Source organism: Homo sapiens, chromosome 6, assembly GCF_000001405.40.
Source record: "Homo sapiens chromosome 6, GRCh38.p14 Primary Assembly".
Classification (NCBI taxonomy): domain Eukaryota; kingdom Metazoa; phylum Chordata; class Mammalia; order Primates; family Hominidae; genus Homo; species Homo sapiens.
The window spans coordinates 110,836,866-110,855,467 of NC_000006.12; the positions used below are offsets into that span (position 1 = coordinate 110,836,866).

Genomic DNA, 18,602 nt, shown 5'->3' on the forward strand with positions numbered 1-18,602 from the left:
TTTTCAGGCTAGGCACCTTGACTCACACCTGTAATCCCAATGTTTTGAGAGGCTGAGAAGGGAACATGGCTGGAGGTCAAGAGTTCGAGACCAACCTGGGCAACATAATGAGACCTTGTCTCTACAAATTTTTTCTAAAAAATTAGCCAGGTGTGGTGGCAAGTGCCTGTAGTCCTAACTACTTGAGAGGCTGAGATGAGAGGATTGCCTGAGCCCAGGAGTTTGATGCTGCAGTGAGCTGTGATACCACCACTGCACTACAGTCTGATACCACCACTGCAGTACAGTCTGAGAAACAGAGCGTCTCAAAAAAAAAAAAAAAAAAAAAAAAAAAGACTCACACCTGTCATCCTAGCACTTTGGGAGGTCTAGGCGGGAGGATGACTTGAGCCCAGGAGATCGAGATCAGTCTGGGCAACATAGAGTCCCATCTCTATTTAAAACTAAAAAAAAAAAAAAAAGGAAAAGTATTTTCTTTCAGTTGTCTACATGCTTTCTATACAGGTTACAATAATTCTGGCAGAAGTTTTACCAGGTTCATAATTGATACATAAAATATTCTTGGATGGACACGGTGGCTCATGCCTGTAATCCCAGTACTTTGGGAGGCCGAGGCAGATGGATCACCTGAGGTCAGGAGTTCAAGACCAGCCTGGCCAACATGGTGAAACCCTGTCTCTATTAAAAGTACAAAAATTAGCCAAGTGTGATGGCAGGTGCCTGTAATCCCAGCTATTCGGGAGTCTGAGGCAGGAAAATCACTTGAACTCAGGAGGCGGAGGTTGCAGTGAGCCAAGTGTGTGACATTGCACTCCAGCCGTGGTGACAAGAGCGAAACTCCATCTCAGAAAAAAAAAAAAAAAAAAAAAAAAAAAAAAAAATATATATATATATATATATATATATATTCCTCTGGGTTAGGGGCGGTGGCTCACACCTCTAATCCCAGCACTTTGGGAGGCAGAGGTGGGTAGATCACTTGAGGTCAGGAGTTCAAGACCAGCCTGACCAACAAGGTGAAGCCCCGTCTCTACTAAAACTACAAAGTTAGCTAGGTGTGGTGGCACACACCAGTAATCCCAGCTACTCAGGAGGCTGAGGCAGGAGAATAACTTGAACCTGGGAGGCAGAGGTGGCAGTGAGCAGAGATTGTATCATTGCACTCCAAACCTGGGCAACAAGAGTGAGACTCCGTCTCAAAAAAAAAAAAAAAAAAATCCTCTGATACATGAAAGTTTTCTGGCCAGGCACAGTGGCTAACACCTGTAATCCTAGCACTTTGGGAGGCCGAGGCGGGTGGATTACATGAGGTCAGGAGTTCGAGACCAGCCTGGCCAACATGGTGAAACCCTGCCTCTACTAAAAGTACAAAAATTAGCCGGGTGTGGTGGCATGTGCCTATAGTCCCAGCTACTCGGGAGGCTGAAGCAGGAGAATCGCTTGAACCCAGGAGGTAGAGGTTGCAGTGAGCTGAGATCGTGCCACTGCATTCCAGCTTGGGCAAGAGTGAGACTCCATCTCAAAAAAAAAACCAAAAGTTTTTAAGAATTAGAGATAATCCACTTCCATAGAGCTTATCAAACTCTGGGTTTTAGCAATGAAAGAAGAAGAAAACAAATCAACCTCTTTTCCATCTATATTAGGTCTGCTAGTATGAAGCACCAGGGACCTCTTAAAAGTTGTATTTTTATTATGTTAACAACTACTTTCCAGCGGGGAGCAGTGGGTCACGCCTGTAATCCTGGCACTTTGGGAGGCCGAGGTGGGTGGGTCACCTGAGGTCAGGAGTTTCAGACCACCCTGGCCAACATGGTGAAACCCTGACTCTACTGAAAATACAAAAATTGGTCTGGCATGGTGGCAGGTGCATGTAATCCGAGCAACTCGAGAGGCTGAGGCAGGAGAATCGCTTAAACCTGGAGGGCTGAGGTTGCAGTGAGCTGAGGTCGCATCATTGCACTCCAGCCTGAGTGAAACAGCAAAACCTCCGTCTACTGGGTTCAAGGGATTCTCCTGCCTCAGCCTCCCAAGTAGCTGGGATTATAGGCGCTTGCCACCACAGCCAGATAATTTTGTATTTTAGTAGAGATGGGGTTTCAGCATGTCGGCCAGGCTGGTCTCAAATTCTTGACCTCGGGTGATCCACGAGCCTCAGCCTCCCAAAGTGCTGGGATTACAGGCATGAGCCACCGCGCCTGGCCCCTAACTTCTGTTTTAATTTAAACTTTTTTTGTATATCTCTAGTATTATAAACTGTGTTTCATCCTTCAAGGAAACTTATGATTTGTATCTTTTCTATTCATGTGCAAATGTTAACCATGTTAATATCTGACATTTCTCATGGATTTATAAAACACTGTTTTCTACACACTGAATGATAGGAAAAAAAGTTATTCTCTCTAGGCAAGGAGTGAAAAGGGAAAAGAAAGTCAACTAACATTTATTGCCTACCTACTATGTGATAGGCATTGCTTAAGAAAAACCTTCAATCCATGTTTTTTCTTTACTCTCATACCACAATAACACACGTTTCTGACCAAAGGTGTAGGTGCTTTTCCCCATAAACTAAGCATGGTGAAAACCTGTCTCTACTACAAATGCAAAAATTAGCCAGGTGTAGTGGTGTGAACCTGTAGTCCCAGCTACCTGGGAGGCCGAGGCAGGAGAATCGCTCAATCCCAGGAGGCAGAGGTTGCAGTCAGTCGAGATCATGCCACTGCACTCCAGCCTGGGGAACAGAGTGAGCCTCAATCTAAAAAATAAATAAATAAATAAAATAAACAAATGTTTTATGTATTCTATCCAGTATTTTAATTTTCCTTTTTTTTAGTGGGGGCATGGGAAGTTTATTCCTTGTATCTAATCTACCATGCTGCCAGAGTGGCTGAAATGCAGGAAGACAATTATAATTGGAGCTTAGGCTATTGTGAGCCACCTGAATAAATGCTGAGGGCTGTTCAACCTTTTGTTCTTTATCAAGGAGGCTATCAGGTTCGGAAAAGAATGTACTTAGCCAACATGGCTGGGAAATGAGGTTTTTCAGTTAACTGGGACATTTCCATAAAAATGTGCCTGCTTTGGGATTAATTAATATCACCCCCATATAAGGCTGTTATACACGGGAAGTAAGTTCTCAGGATTCTCTCTCTTTTTTTTTTTTTTTTTTTTTTGAGATGGAGTTTCCCTCTTGTTATCCAGTCTGAAGTGCAATGGTGCGATCTCGGCTCACTGCAACCTCCACCTCCTGGGTTCAAGTGATCTCCTGCCTCAGCCTCCTGAGTAGCTGGGATTACAGGTGTGAGCCACCGACCTGGCCGTTCTCAGGATTCTCTAAGTTGTTCATAGTTCCAGAGTTACATTTGCTTTTTTCTTGGCAATTTTATTTTATTAACCAGTTGGGTGTCCTCCAATTCAATTCCGACACTGTCTACCTGGAGATAGTGTCAGATCCCAGGGGTTGGGGGCTCAGTCCCCAAGACCACCACCCCCTTCACAAACCAGTCCCAAGTCCAGGCCTTTGGAACTTCTGATCGACTGGCTTCAAGGTGGGGTTCCAACAACCCACTCTTTGGGTTCAATGAATTTGCTGGAGCAGCTCACAGAACACTTACGTTTACCAGTTTATTATAAAATATAGGATATTCCAAAAGATACAGATGAAGAGATGCATAGGGCGAGGTGTGGGGGAAGGGGCTCAGAGCTTCCATGTTCACCCTAGGCCTGCCACCCTTCAGGAACATTCAGGAGTTCAGCTCTGGGAAGCTCTAGGAAACCAGTCCTCTCGGGTTTTTATGGAAAATTCATGATGTCAGTATTCACTCTCCCAGGGTATAGAGCAGGGCCCTCTCTGGTGAGGGTCTTAAGACCCACAGTCAGAAAGGGTTGGGGGGGTGGGGGAAGATTAGAGTCCCACTTCAGGGGGCAAGTGAAAGGAGGGCAGGAGGGCAGAGAGATTCCATTTCCTGAGGCCTGCCCAACACACTCAGCATTATAACAAAAACTATAACAAGGAATATGGGAGTTATGAACCAGGGACTGTGGGATAAAAACCAATATCTATTATACATCATTATACCACAGGCACTGTCATAGGCACTCTTTTATAATGTTTCCTTTTATTCCCTTAACAATCCTGCAAAATAAGAATCCTACTTTTTTATTTTTTGAGACAGAGTTTCACTCTTATTGCCCAGGCTGGAGTGCAATGGCACGATCTCAGCTCACCGCAACCTCCACCTCCTGGGTTCAAGCGATTCTCCTACCTTAGCCTCCCAAGTAGCTGGGATTACAGGCATCTGCCACCATGCCTAGCTAATTTTGTATTTTTAGTAGAGATGGGGTTTCTCCACTATAGAAAGTAAAAAGTTCCTCTTCAAAGTTTCCCTTCTTGTTAAATAATAAATCTTAAGTGTTATAAATGATAGTTTCTTTTAAAGACTAACTTCCTTCAAGCCTCCTTGCTTTGTGCTAATAATTCTTTGTTAAGCCCTAACCTATGTAGCTGTTAGATATAAGGGAATAAGTACATTCAATGTCCTTGTACTTTAACCAAGATGTCTGTGCTGGGCTTGCTCACGGGCATGTCCCAGCTCGCAGCCTATGCCCCTTCCTTATTTGGGAATTTTTATTACTTTTCTAAATCTTTTCGTAAGCAACTTCCTCTTTTCCTTTGTTCTCCATTGCCTCTACCTATTTAAGAAAATTTTAAATTTCTGGCCAGTCGAGTTAAGTTTAGATTGTGCGGTCTGGCTCCAGCCAATGGAGGCAAGACACAGTAGCAGGGACAAGCTGCGTAAGGGATAAAAATTGCTTCCCTCCTTTATTCAGGTGTGTTAGATACAAAGAATAAACTTCCCATGCCCCCATTAAAAAAAAAAAAAAGGAAAATTAAAATGCTGGATAGAATACATGAAACATTTGTTTTATTTTATTTATTTATTTATTTATTTATTTTTTAGATGGAGACTCACTCTGTTCCCCAGGCTGGAGTGCAGTGGCATGATCTCAACTCATTGCAACCTCTGCCTCCTGGGATTGAGCAATTCTCCTGCCTCGGCCTCCCAGGTAGCTGGGACTACAGGTGTGCACCACCACGCCTGGCTAATTTTTGCATTTGTAGTAGAGATGGGTTTTCACCATGTTGGCCAGGCTGGTCTCGAAATTCTAACCTCAAGTGATCCTCCCGCCTCAGCCTCCCAAAGTGCTGGGATTATATGCATGAGCCATCTAGCCCGGCAAAACATTTGCTTAAATACAAGCCTGGGTTCATAGCCCAGACTCAAACTACCTATTGATAGGAGACAAGAGAGTGTTCATGAGTCTCTCACATTTCTGCCCATCTGGTGAGCAGCAGTACTAACTGCCTTTGTTCCACACTATGTTTTTACCAAGTTGTATAGCAAGCAGGCTTGGAAGATAAAGATGGTATATCCCTCCAGACCAGGGGGCAGATATGCTTACAGCATTGGAAGACAGGGATAATGACTATCTATGCTGGGGAGAAAAAGGCAGCAGGCTTAATGTCCATTATAAAACATTCTTGTTCTCTAAATTTGGGGATCCTTTCCTATAACACAACCCTCTGCATATACAGATGTCACCTGCCCCACTTTGTGTTTGGGACTTGGAGAACCAACACAAATGCTGACACTCTGACTACTGCTATTGCTTTGAGTAATAAACTGTCATTTGTCTCTGACCAAAGAGTAGCTTAGCAGTAATAGTAGTAGTAGTCGTTTTCTGCCAACATTCAAGCAACTGTGGCAGGCTAACCATGGCAGAGTAGAATCTCAGACCCTTCATAGTTTTTAATGTCTATGTGGTCCCAAACACTTTATGATGAAAATTAAGTTGGTCTTAGGTTGGTAGTGCCCTAGACAGCTAGTATAAGGAAAAGAAAATCCTCTCTGGAAGAACACCCTTCAACCTAGACCTCAAACAATTCCCACAGATATTGAACCAAAACTTTTAGTCAAAAGTCAAAAAACCACCAGGTGTGGTGGTTCACACCTGTAATCCCAGCAATTTGGGAGGCCGAGGGGGATGGATCACAAGGTCAGGAGTTCGAGACCAGCCTGGACAATATCATGAAACCCCGTCTCTACTAAAAATACAAAAATTAGCCGGGCATGGTGGTGGGCACCTGTAGTCCCAGCTACTCGGGAGGCTGAGGCAGGAGAATTGCTTGTACCTGGGAGGTAGAGGTTGCAGTGAGCCGAGATCGGGCCACTGCACTCCAGCCTGGGCGACAAAGCGAGACTCCCTCTCAAAAAAAAGTCTAAAAAACATATGCTTTTAGTCAAAAGTCAAAAAATGGCTGGGGTATGGTGGTTCACGCCTGAAATCGCAGCACTTTGGAAGGCCTGGGCGGGCGGATCCCCTGAGGTCAGAAGTTGGAGACTAGCCTGGCCAACATGGAGAAACCCACCTCTACTAAAAATACAAAAAAATTAGCTGGGCGCAGTGGTGCAGGCCTATAATCCCAGCTACACGGGAGGCTGAGGCAGGAGAATCGCTAGAACCGAGGAGGCAGAGGTTGTAGTGAGCTGAGATGGCCCCACTGCACTCCAGCCTGGGCGATAAGAGTGAAACTCCATCTTGAAAAAAAAAAAAAAGTCAAAAAACACACAAGAAAATAAAGTACTATGAGTTGGAAGCAGCCTCAAAAACTTCAGATGCTAGAATTTTAGATACAGAATATAAAATAAATATGTTTAATATATTTATTTATTCATTTATTTTGAGACAGGGTCTCACTATTACCCAGGCTGGAGTGCAGTGGCGCCATCTTGGCTCACTGTAGCCTCCACCTACTGGGCTCAGGTGGATCCTTCCACCTCAGCTTCCTGAGTAGCAGACTACAGGCGTGCACCACCACACCTGGCTAATTTTTGTAGTTTTTTTTGTACCGGTGGGGTCTTGCCATGTTGCCATGCTGGTCTCAAACTCATGAGCTCAAGCGATCTGCCTGCCTAGGCCTCCCAAAGTGTTGCGATTACAGGTGTGAGCCACGGAGCTCGGCCCCTTTTCCACTTTTAAGGACCTTTGGGATTATATTGGGCCTCCCCAGATAATCTAGGATAATCTCCCTAAAATCAGCTGATTAGCATTCTTAGTTCCATCTGCAATCTAAATCCTCCTTAGCTATGTAACCTAACATTTACAGATTCTGAAGATTAGGACATTGATATGTTTAAGGATTCATTATCCTGCCTCCTATAAGCAGTAATCCACCTATACAAGAATCCCAGGTGCAGTGGCTCACGCCTGTAATCCCAGCACTTTAGGAGGCCAAGTTGGATCACTTGAGCCCAGGAGGTTGAGACCAGTGTAGCCAACATAGCAAGATCCTGTCCCTACTTCAAAAAAAAAGAAAGAAAGAAAGAAAGAGAATTATAATCTTTTTTTTTTTTTGACTGAGTAGCTGGGATTACAGGCATGTGCCACAATGCCTGGCTAGTTTTTGTATTTTTAGTAGAGACGGGGTTTTGTCATGTTGGTCTCGCTGGTCTCAAACTCCTGACCTCAGGTGATCCTCCCGCCTTGGCCTCCTAAAGTGCTGGGATTATAGGCATGAGCCGCCTTGCCTGGCCAAGTTTAGTATTTTTATGATATCTAGATGAAGGCTTCTTCTGGGCTGGGTGTGGTGGCTCACGCCTGTAATCCCAGCACTTTGGGAGGCTGAGGTGGGCGGATCACGAGGTCAGGAGATCGAGACCATCGTGGCTAACACGGTGAAACCCCATCTCTACTAAAAACACAAAAAATTAGCCGGGTGTGGTGGCAGGCGCCTGTAATCCCACCTACTCAGGAGGCTGAGGCAGGAGAATGGCTTGAACCCGGGAGGCAGAGGTTGCAGTAGGCCAAGATCACACCATTGCACTCCACCCTGGGCAACAAGAGCAAAACTGCATTTCAGAAAAAAAAAAGAAAGAAAGAAAGAAAGAAAAAAGAAATACCTGAGGCTGGGTAATTTATAAAGAAAAGATGTTTCATTGTCTCAAGGTTCTGCAGACAGTACAAGAAATGTGGTGCCTGCATCTGCTTCTGGTGAGCCTCACGAAGCTTCTAATCATCACAGAAGGTGAAATGGGAAGCCAGCAAATCACATGGAGAGAGAGAGAGAGAAAGCAAGCGCAAGCACGAGACAGTGAGGAGGGAGGTGCCACAGACCTTTTTTTTTTTTTTTTTTTGATATGGTGTCTCACTCTGTCGCCCAGGCTGGAGTGCAATGGCATGATCTCAGCTCACTGCAACTTCTGCCTCCCAGGTTCAAGAGATCTCCTGCCTCAGCCTCCCAAGTAGCTGAGATTACAGGCGTGAGCCACCACGCCCGGCTAATTTTTGTATTTTTAGTAGAGACGGGGTTTCACCATGTTGGCCAGGCTGGTCTCCAACTCCTGACCTCAACCGACCCACCTGTCTTGGCTTCTCAAAGTGTTGGGATTACAGACATGAGCCACCACACCTGGCCCGGTGCCACAGACGTTTAAACAACCAGAACTTGCCTATCACTAAGGGAATGGTGCTAGACCATTCATGAGAGATCTGCTCCCATGACTCAATTACATAGTAAGCAGACTATCAAAAAGGGAATTTGGAGATTGAGTTGCTTACCTAACATAGCATAAACATGGTGAAATGAGTATATTAGCAATTCATGCAGGGCTGGCTTCATGGGCATACAGGCCAGGCCTTAGTCTCAAAAGGGACTCATACTGAGTTTAATACCCTGCTGTTGGGTCATTAAACTCCTAATAATTTTCTCTATTTAAGCTCTTGGACTTATACCAGCGATTTGCCAGGGGTTCTCAGGCCTTAGGCCAGAGACAGAAGGCTGCACTGTCGGCTTCCATACTTTTCAGGTTTTGGGACTCGGATGGGCTTCTTTGCTCCTCAGCTTGCAGACAGCCTACTGTGGGACTTCGCCTTGTGATCGTGTGAGTCAATACTCCTTAATAAACTCCTATTCATATATACATTTATCCTATTAGTTCTGTCCCTATAGAGAACCTTGACTAATACACCAGTTTTGAAACCTGCTGCAACATTTCAAAGAAAATATTCACAGGCATACAAATAAAAACAGATTTTAGGCCGGGCGTGATGGCTCACGCCTGTAATCCCAGCACTTTGGGAGGCCAAGGAGGGTGGATCACAAGGTCAGATGTTCGAGACCAGCCTGGCCAACATGGTGAAACCCCGTCTCTACTAAAAATACAAAAATTAGCCGGTGTGGTGGTGCACGCATGTAATCCCAGCTACTTGGGAGGCTGAGGTAGGAGAATCACTTGAACCTAGGAGGCAGAGGTTTCAGTGAGCTGAGATCGCGCCACTGCACTCCAGCCTGGGTGACAGTGTGACTGTCTCAAACAACAACAACAACAACAAAAACTGAATTTAAAGATTGTCACATTTAACAGAAAAGAACACTTTTCATGTGGAACTCAGGTGAAAAAAACATTAATGAGGAAGACAAATCTAAAATTAATTTTTTCCTTTTAATTGAATATACAGTAGAATGCATAAATAGCTATCCTGAATTATATACATGAAGCCACTTTTAATTTCTTATATGACTGACATCTACAAGTTACAGAAACTATCAGAGGAAACATTAAATGCCATTGTATAAATTAACATTTACGATTAAATTCAGACTTACATGAAATGATGTAAATGTACAGTTAAATCTTTTTAGAAAAATTATCTCAAGTTGGCTTGGTGTGGCAGGTGGTGGCTCACACCTGTAATCCCAGCACTTTGGGAGCCTGAGGCAGGTGGATCACAAGGTCAGGAGTTCAAGACCAGCCAGGCCAAAATGGTGAAAGCTCGTCTCTACTAAAAATACAAAAACTAGGTGGGTGTGGTGGCGTGTGCCTGTAGTCCCAGCTACTTGGGAGGCTGAGGCAGGAGGATTGCTTGAACTCAGTAGGCAGAGGTCACAGTGAGCTGAGATCGCGCCACTGCACTCCAGCCTGGGCAACAGAGCAAGACTCTGTCTCAAAAAAAAAAGAACAATGCTTTATATTTTAGTATCTTAATTGCATTTTTTTCTGCTTTTTATACAAGGTCCTTACATTTTTCACTTTGCAATGCACCAAGCAAATTATGTAGCTATCTCTGAATGCATGGCATGCATATCAATTAGGATTCTACCAGAAAAAGAACTAGGAGAGTGTGTGTGTGTGTGTGTGTGGTGTGTGTGTGTGTGTGTGTGTGTGTATAAATTTATAAATTTATTGCAAGGAATTGTTTGTTACCTTTCATAATTGTGGGGGCTGGCTAAGCAAGTCTGAAATCTTGGGCAGGCTCTTAGGCTGGAAACTCAGGCAGAAGCTAAAACTGTAGCCCAAGGTTAGAATTTCTTCTTTCTAAAGACCGGGCACAGTGGCTCACGCCTGTAATCCCAGCACTTTGGGAGGCCGAGGCAGGCGGATCACAAGGTCAGGAGATTGAGACCATCCTGGCTAACACGGTGAAACCCCGTCTCTACTAAAAATAGAAAAAATTAGCCGGGCATGGTGGTGGGTGCCTGTAGTCTCAGCTACTCGGGAGGCTGAGGCAGGAGAATGGCGTGAACCCGGGAGACGGAGCTTGCAGTGAGCCGAGATCGCGCCACTGCACTCCAGCCTGGGTGACAGAGCGAGACTCCGTCTCAAAAAAAAAAAGAATTTCTTCTTTCTTAGGGAAACTTCCATTTTGCTCTTAGGCTATTTAACTGATTGAATAAGGTCCACCCAGATAATTAATGGATGATAATCTCCTTTACTTAAAGTCAACTGTAGATGCTTATCCTATCTACAAAATTCCTTCAGCGAATTTCCTTTGTTTTTGTTTTTTGTTTTTTGTTTTTTGTTTTTTTGAGATGAAGTCTTGCTCTGTCACCTAGGCTGGAGTGCAGTGGCACAATCTTGGCTCACTGCAACCTCCACCTCCCCGGCTCGAGCAATTCTCCTGCCTTAGCCTCCTGAGTAGCTGGGATTACAGGTGCACACCACCATGCCCAGCTAATTTTTGTATTTTTTTTTAGTAGAGACAGGGTTTCACCATGTTGGCCAGGCTGGCCTCAAACTCCTGACCTTGTGATCCGCCTGCCTCAGCCTCCCAAAGTGCTGGGATTACAGGCATGAGCCACCGCACCCGGCCAGCAAATTTCCTTCTAGCCACACCTAAATTAGTTTTTGATTAACTGGGTACTATAGCCTTGTGAAGTCAACACAAGTAACCATTACATCATGGGATGATGACATTATGATTCCTGAAAATATGAGCTGTGTTTGTTTGGAATGAAGAGCTTGAAAAGGACAAGGCTTTGAGAATTCAAGAACTTGTCTAATGTGATAATAAAGATAGCCAAAGACAAGATGATTTCAGCTGGGCTCGGTGGCTCATGCCTATAATCCCAGCACTTTGGGAGGCTGAGGCAGGCGAGTCACTTGAGGTCAGGGGTTTGAGACCAGCCTGGCCAACATGGTGAAACACTGTCTCTACTAAAAATACAAAAATTAGCCATGTGTGATGGCAAGCACCTGTAATCCCAGCTATTCGGAAGGCTGAGGCAGGAGAATCAGTTGAACCTAGGAGGCGGAGGTTGCAGTGAGCTATGATGCCACTGCACTCCAGCTTGGGTGACAGAGTGAGACTCCGTGTTAGCAAAAAACAACAACAACAACAAAACTGCACTTATGTATGTTTTTGTTTAACTTGTGGACAAAGACTTTAGGAAAGGTGCAAAAAATAAATCTTCTTTTGCAACCCAGAACTCATTGTTCAGTATGAGTTTTGATACATATCAGAATGGATACTATGATACCTGAGACAGTTAACTGATGGAGTATTGATAGCCATAAAGGTTGGTCCCAGGCCAGGCACAGTGGCTAAAGCCTGCAATCTCCACACCAAAGTGGGAGTATTGCTTGAAGCCAGGAGTTCAAGACGAGCCTGGGCAAGAACGTAACAAACACCTCATCTCCACAAAAATTTAAAAATTAGCTGGATATTGGGGCATGTACCTGTAGTTGCAGCTACTCAGGAAGGGGAGGCTAAGGCAAGAGGATTGAGCCAGGAGTTGGTGGCTGCACTGAGCCTTGATGGCACCACTGTACTCCAGCCTGCGTAACAAAGACAGACCCTGTCTCTTAATAAAAAATGATTGATTCTAGAACTGTAGAAGAGATAGTTAAACAGCATGGGATATGAGGGAAATCCTCAGCAGTATTAATTTTGCATTCCAATTTCATGTTGACGTGATACAGACAATGACTTTTTGTTTTAAAGGCTTTTATCTTGAGAACATGGTATCTGGAGTTAAAGGTATTGGCGTATTCCACACATCTGTACTATTCTTGAGTGTGATCGCTTAGGAATAAATATGATTTGAACTCATTCATGTTAAGAGAGGGTGTCAAATTGAGAACCAGGCAGATCCACCACCTACAGTAAAAAGGACTTTAAATTGGCTGAAGAAATTAGATCCCAAAGATTCTTGGTGAATTTTGAAGTCTTCATCAGTATATCCATATTAAAAGATGACAGAAACCAAAATAAAAGAATTATGGGCTGACAGGACAACTGAATTAAAATTAGCATTAGTTTCATTAAAAAGGGCTAACTTGAAGATCAATCTTTTGAATCCAGCTCTTTAGAGGATCTAAAGTCACCTTGATGGACAGTGGAACAAATCACAACATGGAATTCCTTGAATAAAGATTTATTGACTTTAAATAATTTAGCCTAATGTTACATTTACACAATTTTTTTTAAAAAAACCTCTTTACACTGTTTCTAAAACAAACAAACAAAAAGACAAGATGATTTCTTCTAGGAGCACTGGAGAATAGAAGAATATTTCAGTAAGAATAAGAAAATGTTGCCAAACATAGTGGCTAACGCCTGTAATCCTAGCACTTTGGGAGGCCAAGGCAAGAAGATTGCTTGAGCCCGTGAGTTCAAGACCAGCCTGAGCAACATGGCAAGACCCTATCTCTACAAAAAATTTAAAATATTAGCCAGGCATGGTGGTGCACCTGTAGTCCCAGCTACTTGGGAAACTGAGGTGGGGGGCGGGGAATCTCTTGAGCCTGGGAGATTGAGGCTGCAGTGAGCTGTGATCTTGCCACTGAACTTTAGCCTGGTGACAGAGCAAAACACTGTCAAAAAAAAAAAAAGAATAAGAAAATGACAGGGAGTTGAACTCTCAGTTCAAAGAATAGAGACCCAGAGAAGTTCCACAATAACGTTAAAAGAGCCGATCTCTTCATATATACAACCATAAATCATTAATTTACAATAAAATTAAACTAAAAAAAAGAACTGATTTCCTGCAACTTCCTGACAGACAAAGCTCCAAATTTAATTTTGCAGATTATAGAATTAAAACATAACATACAACTTCATCAAGTCTTTCATGTTAAGATGAGGGTATTGGGAAGGAGGTAAACTCTTAGACGTTGGGAATATTTGGGGGGACTCAGGCGAAGCTGGGAATCTTATACCCCCAAATTCCCTTGACCCTCCCTTGCCGGTGAAAACAGAACTCCTTCACTGTCTCAGAAAACTGGTTTCTCTGTTTAAACCTTTCCAAAGGCAGTAACCTTGCAAGAGGATGCCTGTTCTCCTGAAGACCCACCCCAACCATCCCTGCCTGCCTCCATAAACCAGTTCACTCCCAGAGTGCCTTGGGGAGAAAATTAAAATATGTGTTCCAAGTAGATAAGGCTTTACATACCAAAATAATTGCAAAATCTTGCAAGTTGTTATTAATAGGAACCTAGGAAATTTGTGGGAATGCATTGAAGTGTTAAAGGAATACGCAATGTAACACTGAATTGGGCAAATTTTACCAATACAAGGCTTTGACTAGAGATTCTGAGTTTAATGTTCAAAGCAGAGCAGCTGGAGGTAGCTCTAAGTATTTGCTTGATTAGTTCACTGAAGCCTAGACTGAGGACTGAGCGTGGTGATTACTTGGAAAGAAGGCATCTTGGTTCTAGTTCTATTTGAGATTAATTATTTAAATACTCAGAAATGATTTTTGAAATACAGAGGTAATATATGATCATTATAACTAATAAAAGGTTATATAATATTTAGAAGTTATTTTATTTTATTTTTTGAGATGGAGTCCAGCTCTGTCGCCCAGGCTGGAGTGCAGTGGTGCAATCTTGGTTCACTGCAACCTCCACCTCCCGGGTTCAAGCAATTCTCCTGCCTCAGCTTCCCGAGTAGCTGGGACTACAGGCATGTGCCACCATGCTCGGCTAATTTTTGTATTTTTTTAGTAGAGACGAGGTTTCAGCATGTTGGCCAGGGTGGTCTTGAACTCCTGACCTCAGGTGATCCATCTGCCTTGGCCTCCCAAAGTGCTGAGATTACAGGCATGAGCCACCACGCCCGGCCTTTTCTTTTATTTTTTAATAAAGAAGGGGTCTCATTGTGTTGCCCAGGCAGGTCTTGAACTCTTGGGCTCAAGCAATCGCCCTGCCTTGACCTCCCAAAATATTGGGATTACAGGTGTGAGCCACCATGCCAAGCCATAAGTACTTTTTTGAAAAGTTGTGGGGTTTTTTGTTTGTTTTTGTTGTTGTTTTCATTGTTGTTGTTGTTGTCGTTTTGATATGGAATGTTACTCTGTCGCCCAGGCTGGAGTCCATTGGCACAATCTCCACCCACGGCAACCTCCACCTCCTGGGTTCAAGCGATTCTCCTGACTCAGCCTCCTGAGTGGCTGGGATTACAGGCATGCACCACCATGCCCAGCTAATTTTATATTTTTAGTAGAGACAGGGTTTCTCCATGTTGGTCAGGCTGGTCTCAAACTCCTGACCTCAAGCGATTTGCCCACGTTGGCCTCCCAAAATGCTGGGATTACAAGTGTGAGCCACTGCACCTGGCCCTCAAAATTGGTTCTAATCACATAGTGTTTAACATCACCCCAGCTTGTATAAATTAAGTGCTTAATAAAGATCATTGTTCATTTATCTTAGACACATTATTTGCCAGGAGAAAAATAAAGGATATCCTAGACACAGAATAGTGAATGAATATGCAAAAAATAAGTAACAAGTGCAGCTCACCTTAACAATACGCTTTTTAAAATGTGCATAAATTGAATTATTTAAAGTAAAATCAAGAGCTTTGGTTTAAAACAGAACTCTAGCAATCTTCTGTAACATAACGAGATTTTTTTGTTTTTTTTTTTTTTGAGAAAGAGTCTCTCTTTGTTACCCAGGCTGGAGTGCAGTTGTGGGAACATGGCTCACTGCATCCTCAACCTCCCAGCCTCAGGTGATCCTCCCTACTGACTATAGGCATGCACCTCCACGCCTGGCTAATTTTTTTTTTTTTTTTTTTTTTTTTTTTTTTTTTTTTTTGAGAAGGAGTCTCTCTCTGTCGCCCAGGCTGGAGTGCAGTGGCACGATCTTGGCTCACTGCAACCTCTGCCTCCTGGGTTCAAGCAATTCTCCTGCCTCAGTCTCCCGAGTAGCTACAACTACAGGCACACGCCACCAAGTCCGGCTAATTTTTTGTATTTTAGTAGATACAGGGTTTCACCTTGTTGCCCAGGCTGTTCTCGAACTCCTGACCTCAGGATCCACCCATCTCAGCCTCTTAAAGTGCTGGGATTACAGGCGTGAGCCACTGCACCTGGCCCATAATGAATTCTTAATATTATGTAGCTATTCATGTTAAGACTTCCTGGTCACCTCCTTCAACAACTGGGAAACATCAGTTTTGGAACCCATAGTCATATCTAATAAAGGCACATTCTCTTGCCTTGTCTTAGAAATAAAATAAAACAATAATCAATACAAAGAATTGCTGTCTTTGGTCTCCATACTTTTCCATTTTTACAACAAACTTCTTATGCAAACCTCACAATATCAGCGTAAGAGTCAATTTTCATACTTTGACCCAACACTCTACCTTATAGGTAGTCAATGAATATTTTTCTGAATGAACAAACATTTTAATTCATTAATTAGTTAATTAAGTAGTTCTAAACCTAAGATTATTCTGGGGTGCGGAAGGAACTAACATGAAAACTTTAGAGATATAAGCAGCCATATCAGTCTTTCCCTTTTTTTTGAACTTGCATCATTGGCTAATTAAGCACTTTTTTTTTTTTTTTTTTTTTAGTGTGTGTGACTCACTTTATTGCAATATTCATTTTATTGTGGAGTGGTCTGAAATTGACTCTGCAATATATTTGAGGTATGCCTGCATACAACAGCATTTCTATTTTTTCTTTTCTTTCTTTTTTTCTTTTTTTTTGAGACAGAGTCTCACTCTGTCACTCCGGCTGGAGCGCAGTGGTGTCATCTTGGCTCCCTGCAACCTCCACGTCTAGGGTTCGAGCAATTCTCCTGCGTCAGCCTCCTGAATAGCTGAGACTACAGGTGTGTACTACCATGTTCAGCGAATTTTGGGGTTTGTGGGTTTTTTGTTTTTTTTTTTTTGAGACGGAATCTCGGTCTGTTGCCCAGGCTGGAGTGCAGTAGCGTGATCTCAGCTCACTGCAACCTCCACTTCCCGGGTTCAAGCGACCCTCCTGCCTCAGCCTCCTGAGTAGCTGGGACTACAGGCGCGAGCCACCATGCCCAGCTAATTTTTGTATTTTTTAGTAGAGACAGGGTTTCACCATGTTGACCAGAATGGTCTGGATCTCTTGACCTCATGATCCGCCTGCCTCGGCCTCCCAAAGGGCTGGGATTACAGGCGTGAGCCACCGCACCTGGCCATTTTTGTATTTTTAGTAGAGATAGGGTTTCACCACGTTGGCCAGGCTGGTCTTGAACTCCTCATCTCAAGCGATCCTCTCACCTCAGCCTCCCAAAGTGCTCAGCTTACAGGTGTGAGCAACTGCGCCCAGCCTAAACACATCATTCTTAAACTACCTGACCTTTCAGAACTAACAGTTGAAGCTAGGAATTCTCTATTTTGCCACTCTGTCTACAATCCTCCATTATCTACATAATATTGCAGCTCTTCCATTATATTGTGGAATGGCTGTGAAGTAGCACAAGGCTCAATGTCAAGTGTCCTCTAATACTCCATCGCACGACTAAACCCTATGTCACTTAGCAACATTTCCCTGCCCTGCTCTCCCAGCTCTTGTTGGGAAGCCTGTTCTGAGACGGTGGAACTTGGCAGGGGTGAAGGAAAATCCAGTGACTGATGCTTTATGTCCAGGAATTTTCAAAGCCTGTAGATGGCTTTTGGTTTTGGGTGGTGGTTTTTGTTTTTCTTTCTTACTTTTTTTCTTTACTAAAGGATTAGAATTTATAAATAATAGAGTGTACTGCACAATGGAAGATGCAGAACACAAACACGTTTAACTAGAATAGTATTCTTTAGCACTGGTGGTACCACACCTTTATTGCTAAAGACCTGTGTTGGGAAATGGGGACACTCCCCTTCTTACACTTCAGGTTACAGCCCTGTCCAGTTAAGCAATACACCACTTCACACTGGAGACCTTAATTTAAATGAGTTACAACTAACTTTTATGTAGGGCAGCAAGGTGCATGAAAAGGAAAACAAATGAGTACAAAGGATAAAAGAATCACTCCTTTCTTTTCTTTCTTTCTTTTTTTTTTTGAAACGGAGTCTCATTCTGTCGCCAAGGCTGGAGTGCAGTGGTACGATCTTGGCTCACTGCAACCTCTGCCTCCCGGGTTCAAACGATTCTCCTGCCTCAGCCTCCCAAGTAACTGGGATTATAGGCACCTGCCATTATGCCCAGCTAATTTTTGTATTTTTGTAGAGATGGGATTTCACCATGTTGGCCAGGCTGGTCTTGAACTCCTGACCTCAGGTGATCCACCAGCCTCGGCCTCCCAAAGTGCTAGGATTACAGGAGTGAGCCACCGCACCCGGCCAAATGTTTGTAATTCTTACATTCTCTGGAAAAAAATTCGTTAATTGAGTTTATATTGAAATGTAGCAACTCCTAGTTTCATAAATTTTATGTATGTAATATTTGAAGGATCCTGATTTTTTGCTTTCTTATTACATAGTGCTAAATACACAGTATATATGAGATTTTGCTGAGTTGAAAACTACAATTGTGGATTTCAAATAAATAATGCTAAACTAGTTATGTGGAAAATGAGAAGGTTAGGTTTATTTATAAATATCTACTTGGGTAGATTATCTTCACATTCTCTAATTGCATGGCTTAAAGTTCTCTCTCTCTCTTTTTTTTTTTTTTTTTTTTTTTTGAGAGAATTGTCCAGGCTGTTCTTGAACTCCTGGCCTTGTTGGATCCTCTGGCCTTGGCCTCCCCAAGTGCTAGGATTACAAGCATGAGCTACCATGCCTGGCCTATGCCAGCTTTTTAAGAACCTTGAGATCAAAGAAATAAATGAGAAATTTCTGAAAATTTCCACATGTACTTAAAACTCTGTAACTATATACTATATATTAAATCTACCAAAAAATTGATGGTTAGGAACCTGCAACCAGGATTTAATAGCCTTGTTTTATAAAAGTATACCAAAACAATTAGAAAAACATAGTTAATAGCTTTTAAACAAAATTTGCTTACAAATTATAGTTTGATACAATTATAAAGTAATAAATGGCATAAAGTTACATAG

General features: G+C 43.0%; 1 protein-coding gene and 1 non-coding gene across 2 annotated transcripts in view; both read left to right on the plus strand.

The window, feature by feature from the left end:
- Positions 1 to 18,602, plus strand: part of AMD1 (adenosylmethionine decarboxylase 1) — an 81,097-nt gene that overhangs the window by 22,249 nt on the left and 40,246 nt on the right. The gene's annotated exons all lie outside the window — the stretch shown is intronic.
- Positions 11,681 to 11,808, plus strand: SNORA40C (small nucleolar RNA, H/ACA box 40C). Its single transcript, NR_145728.1, has one exon. It is a non-coding gene; the product is annotated as a small nucleolar RNA, H/ACA box 40C (small nucleolar RNA).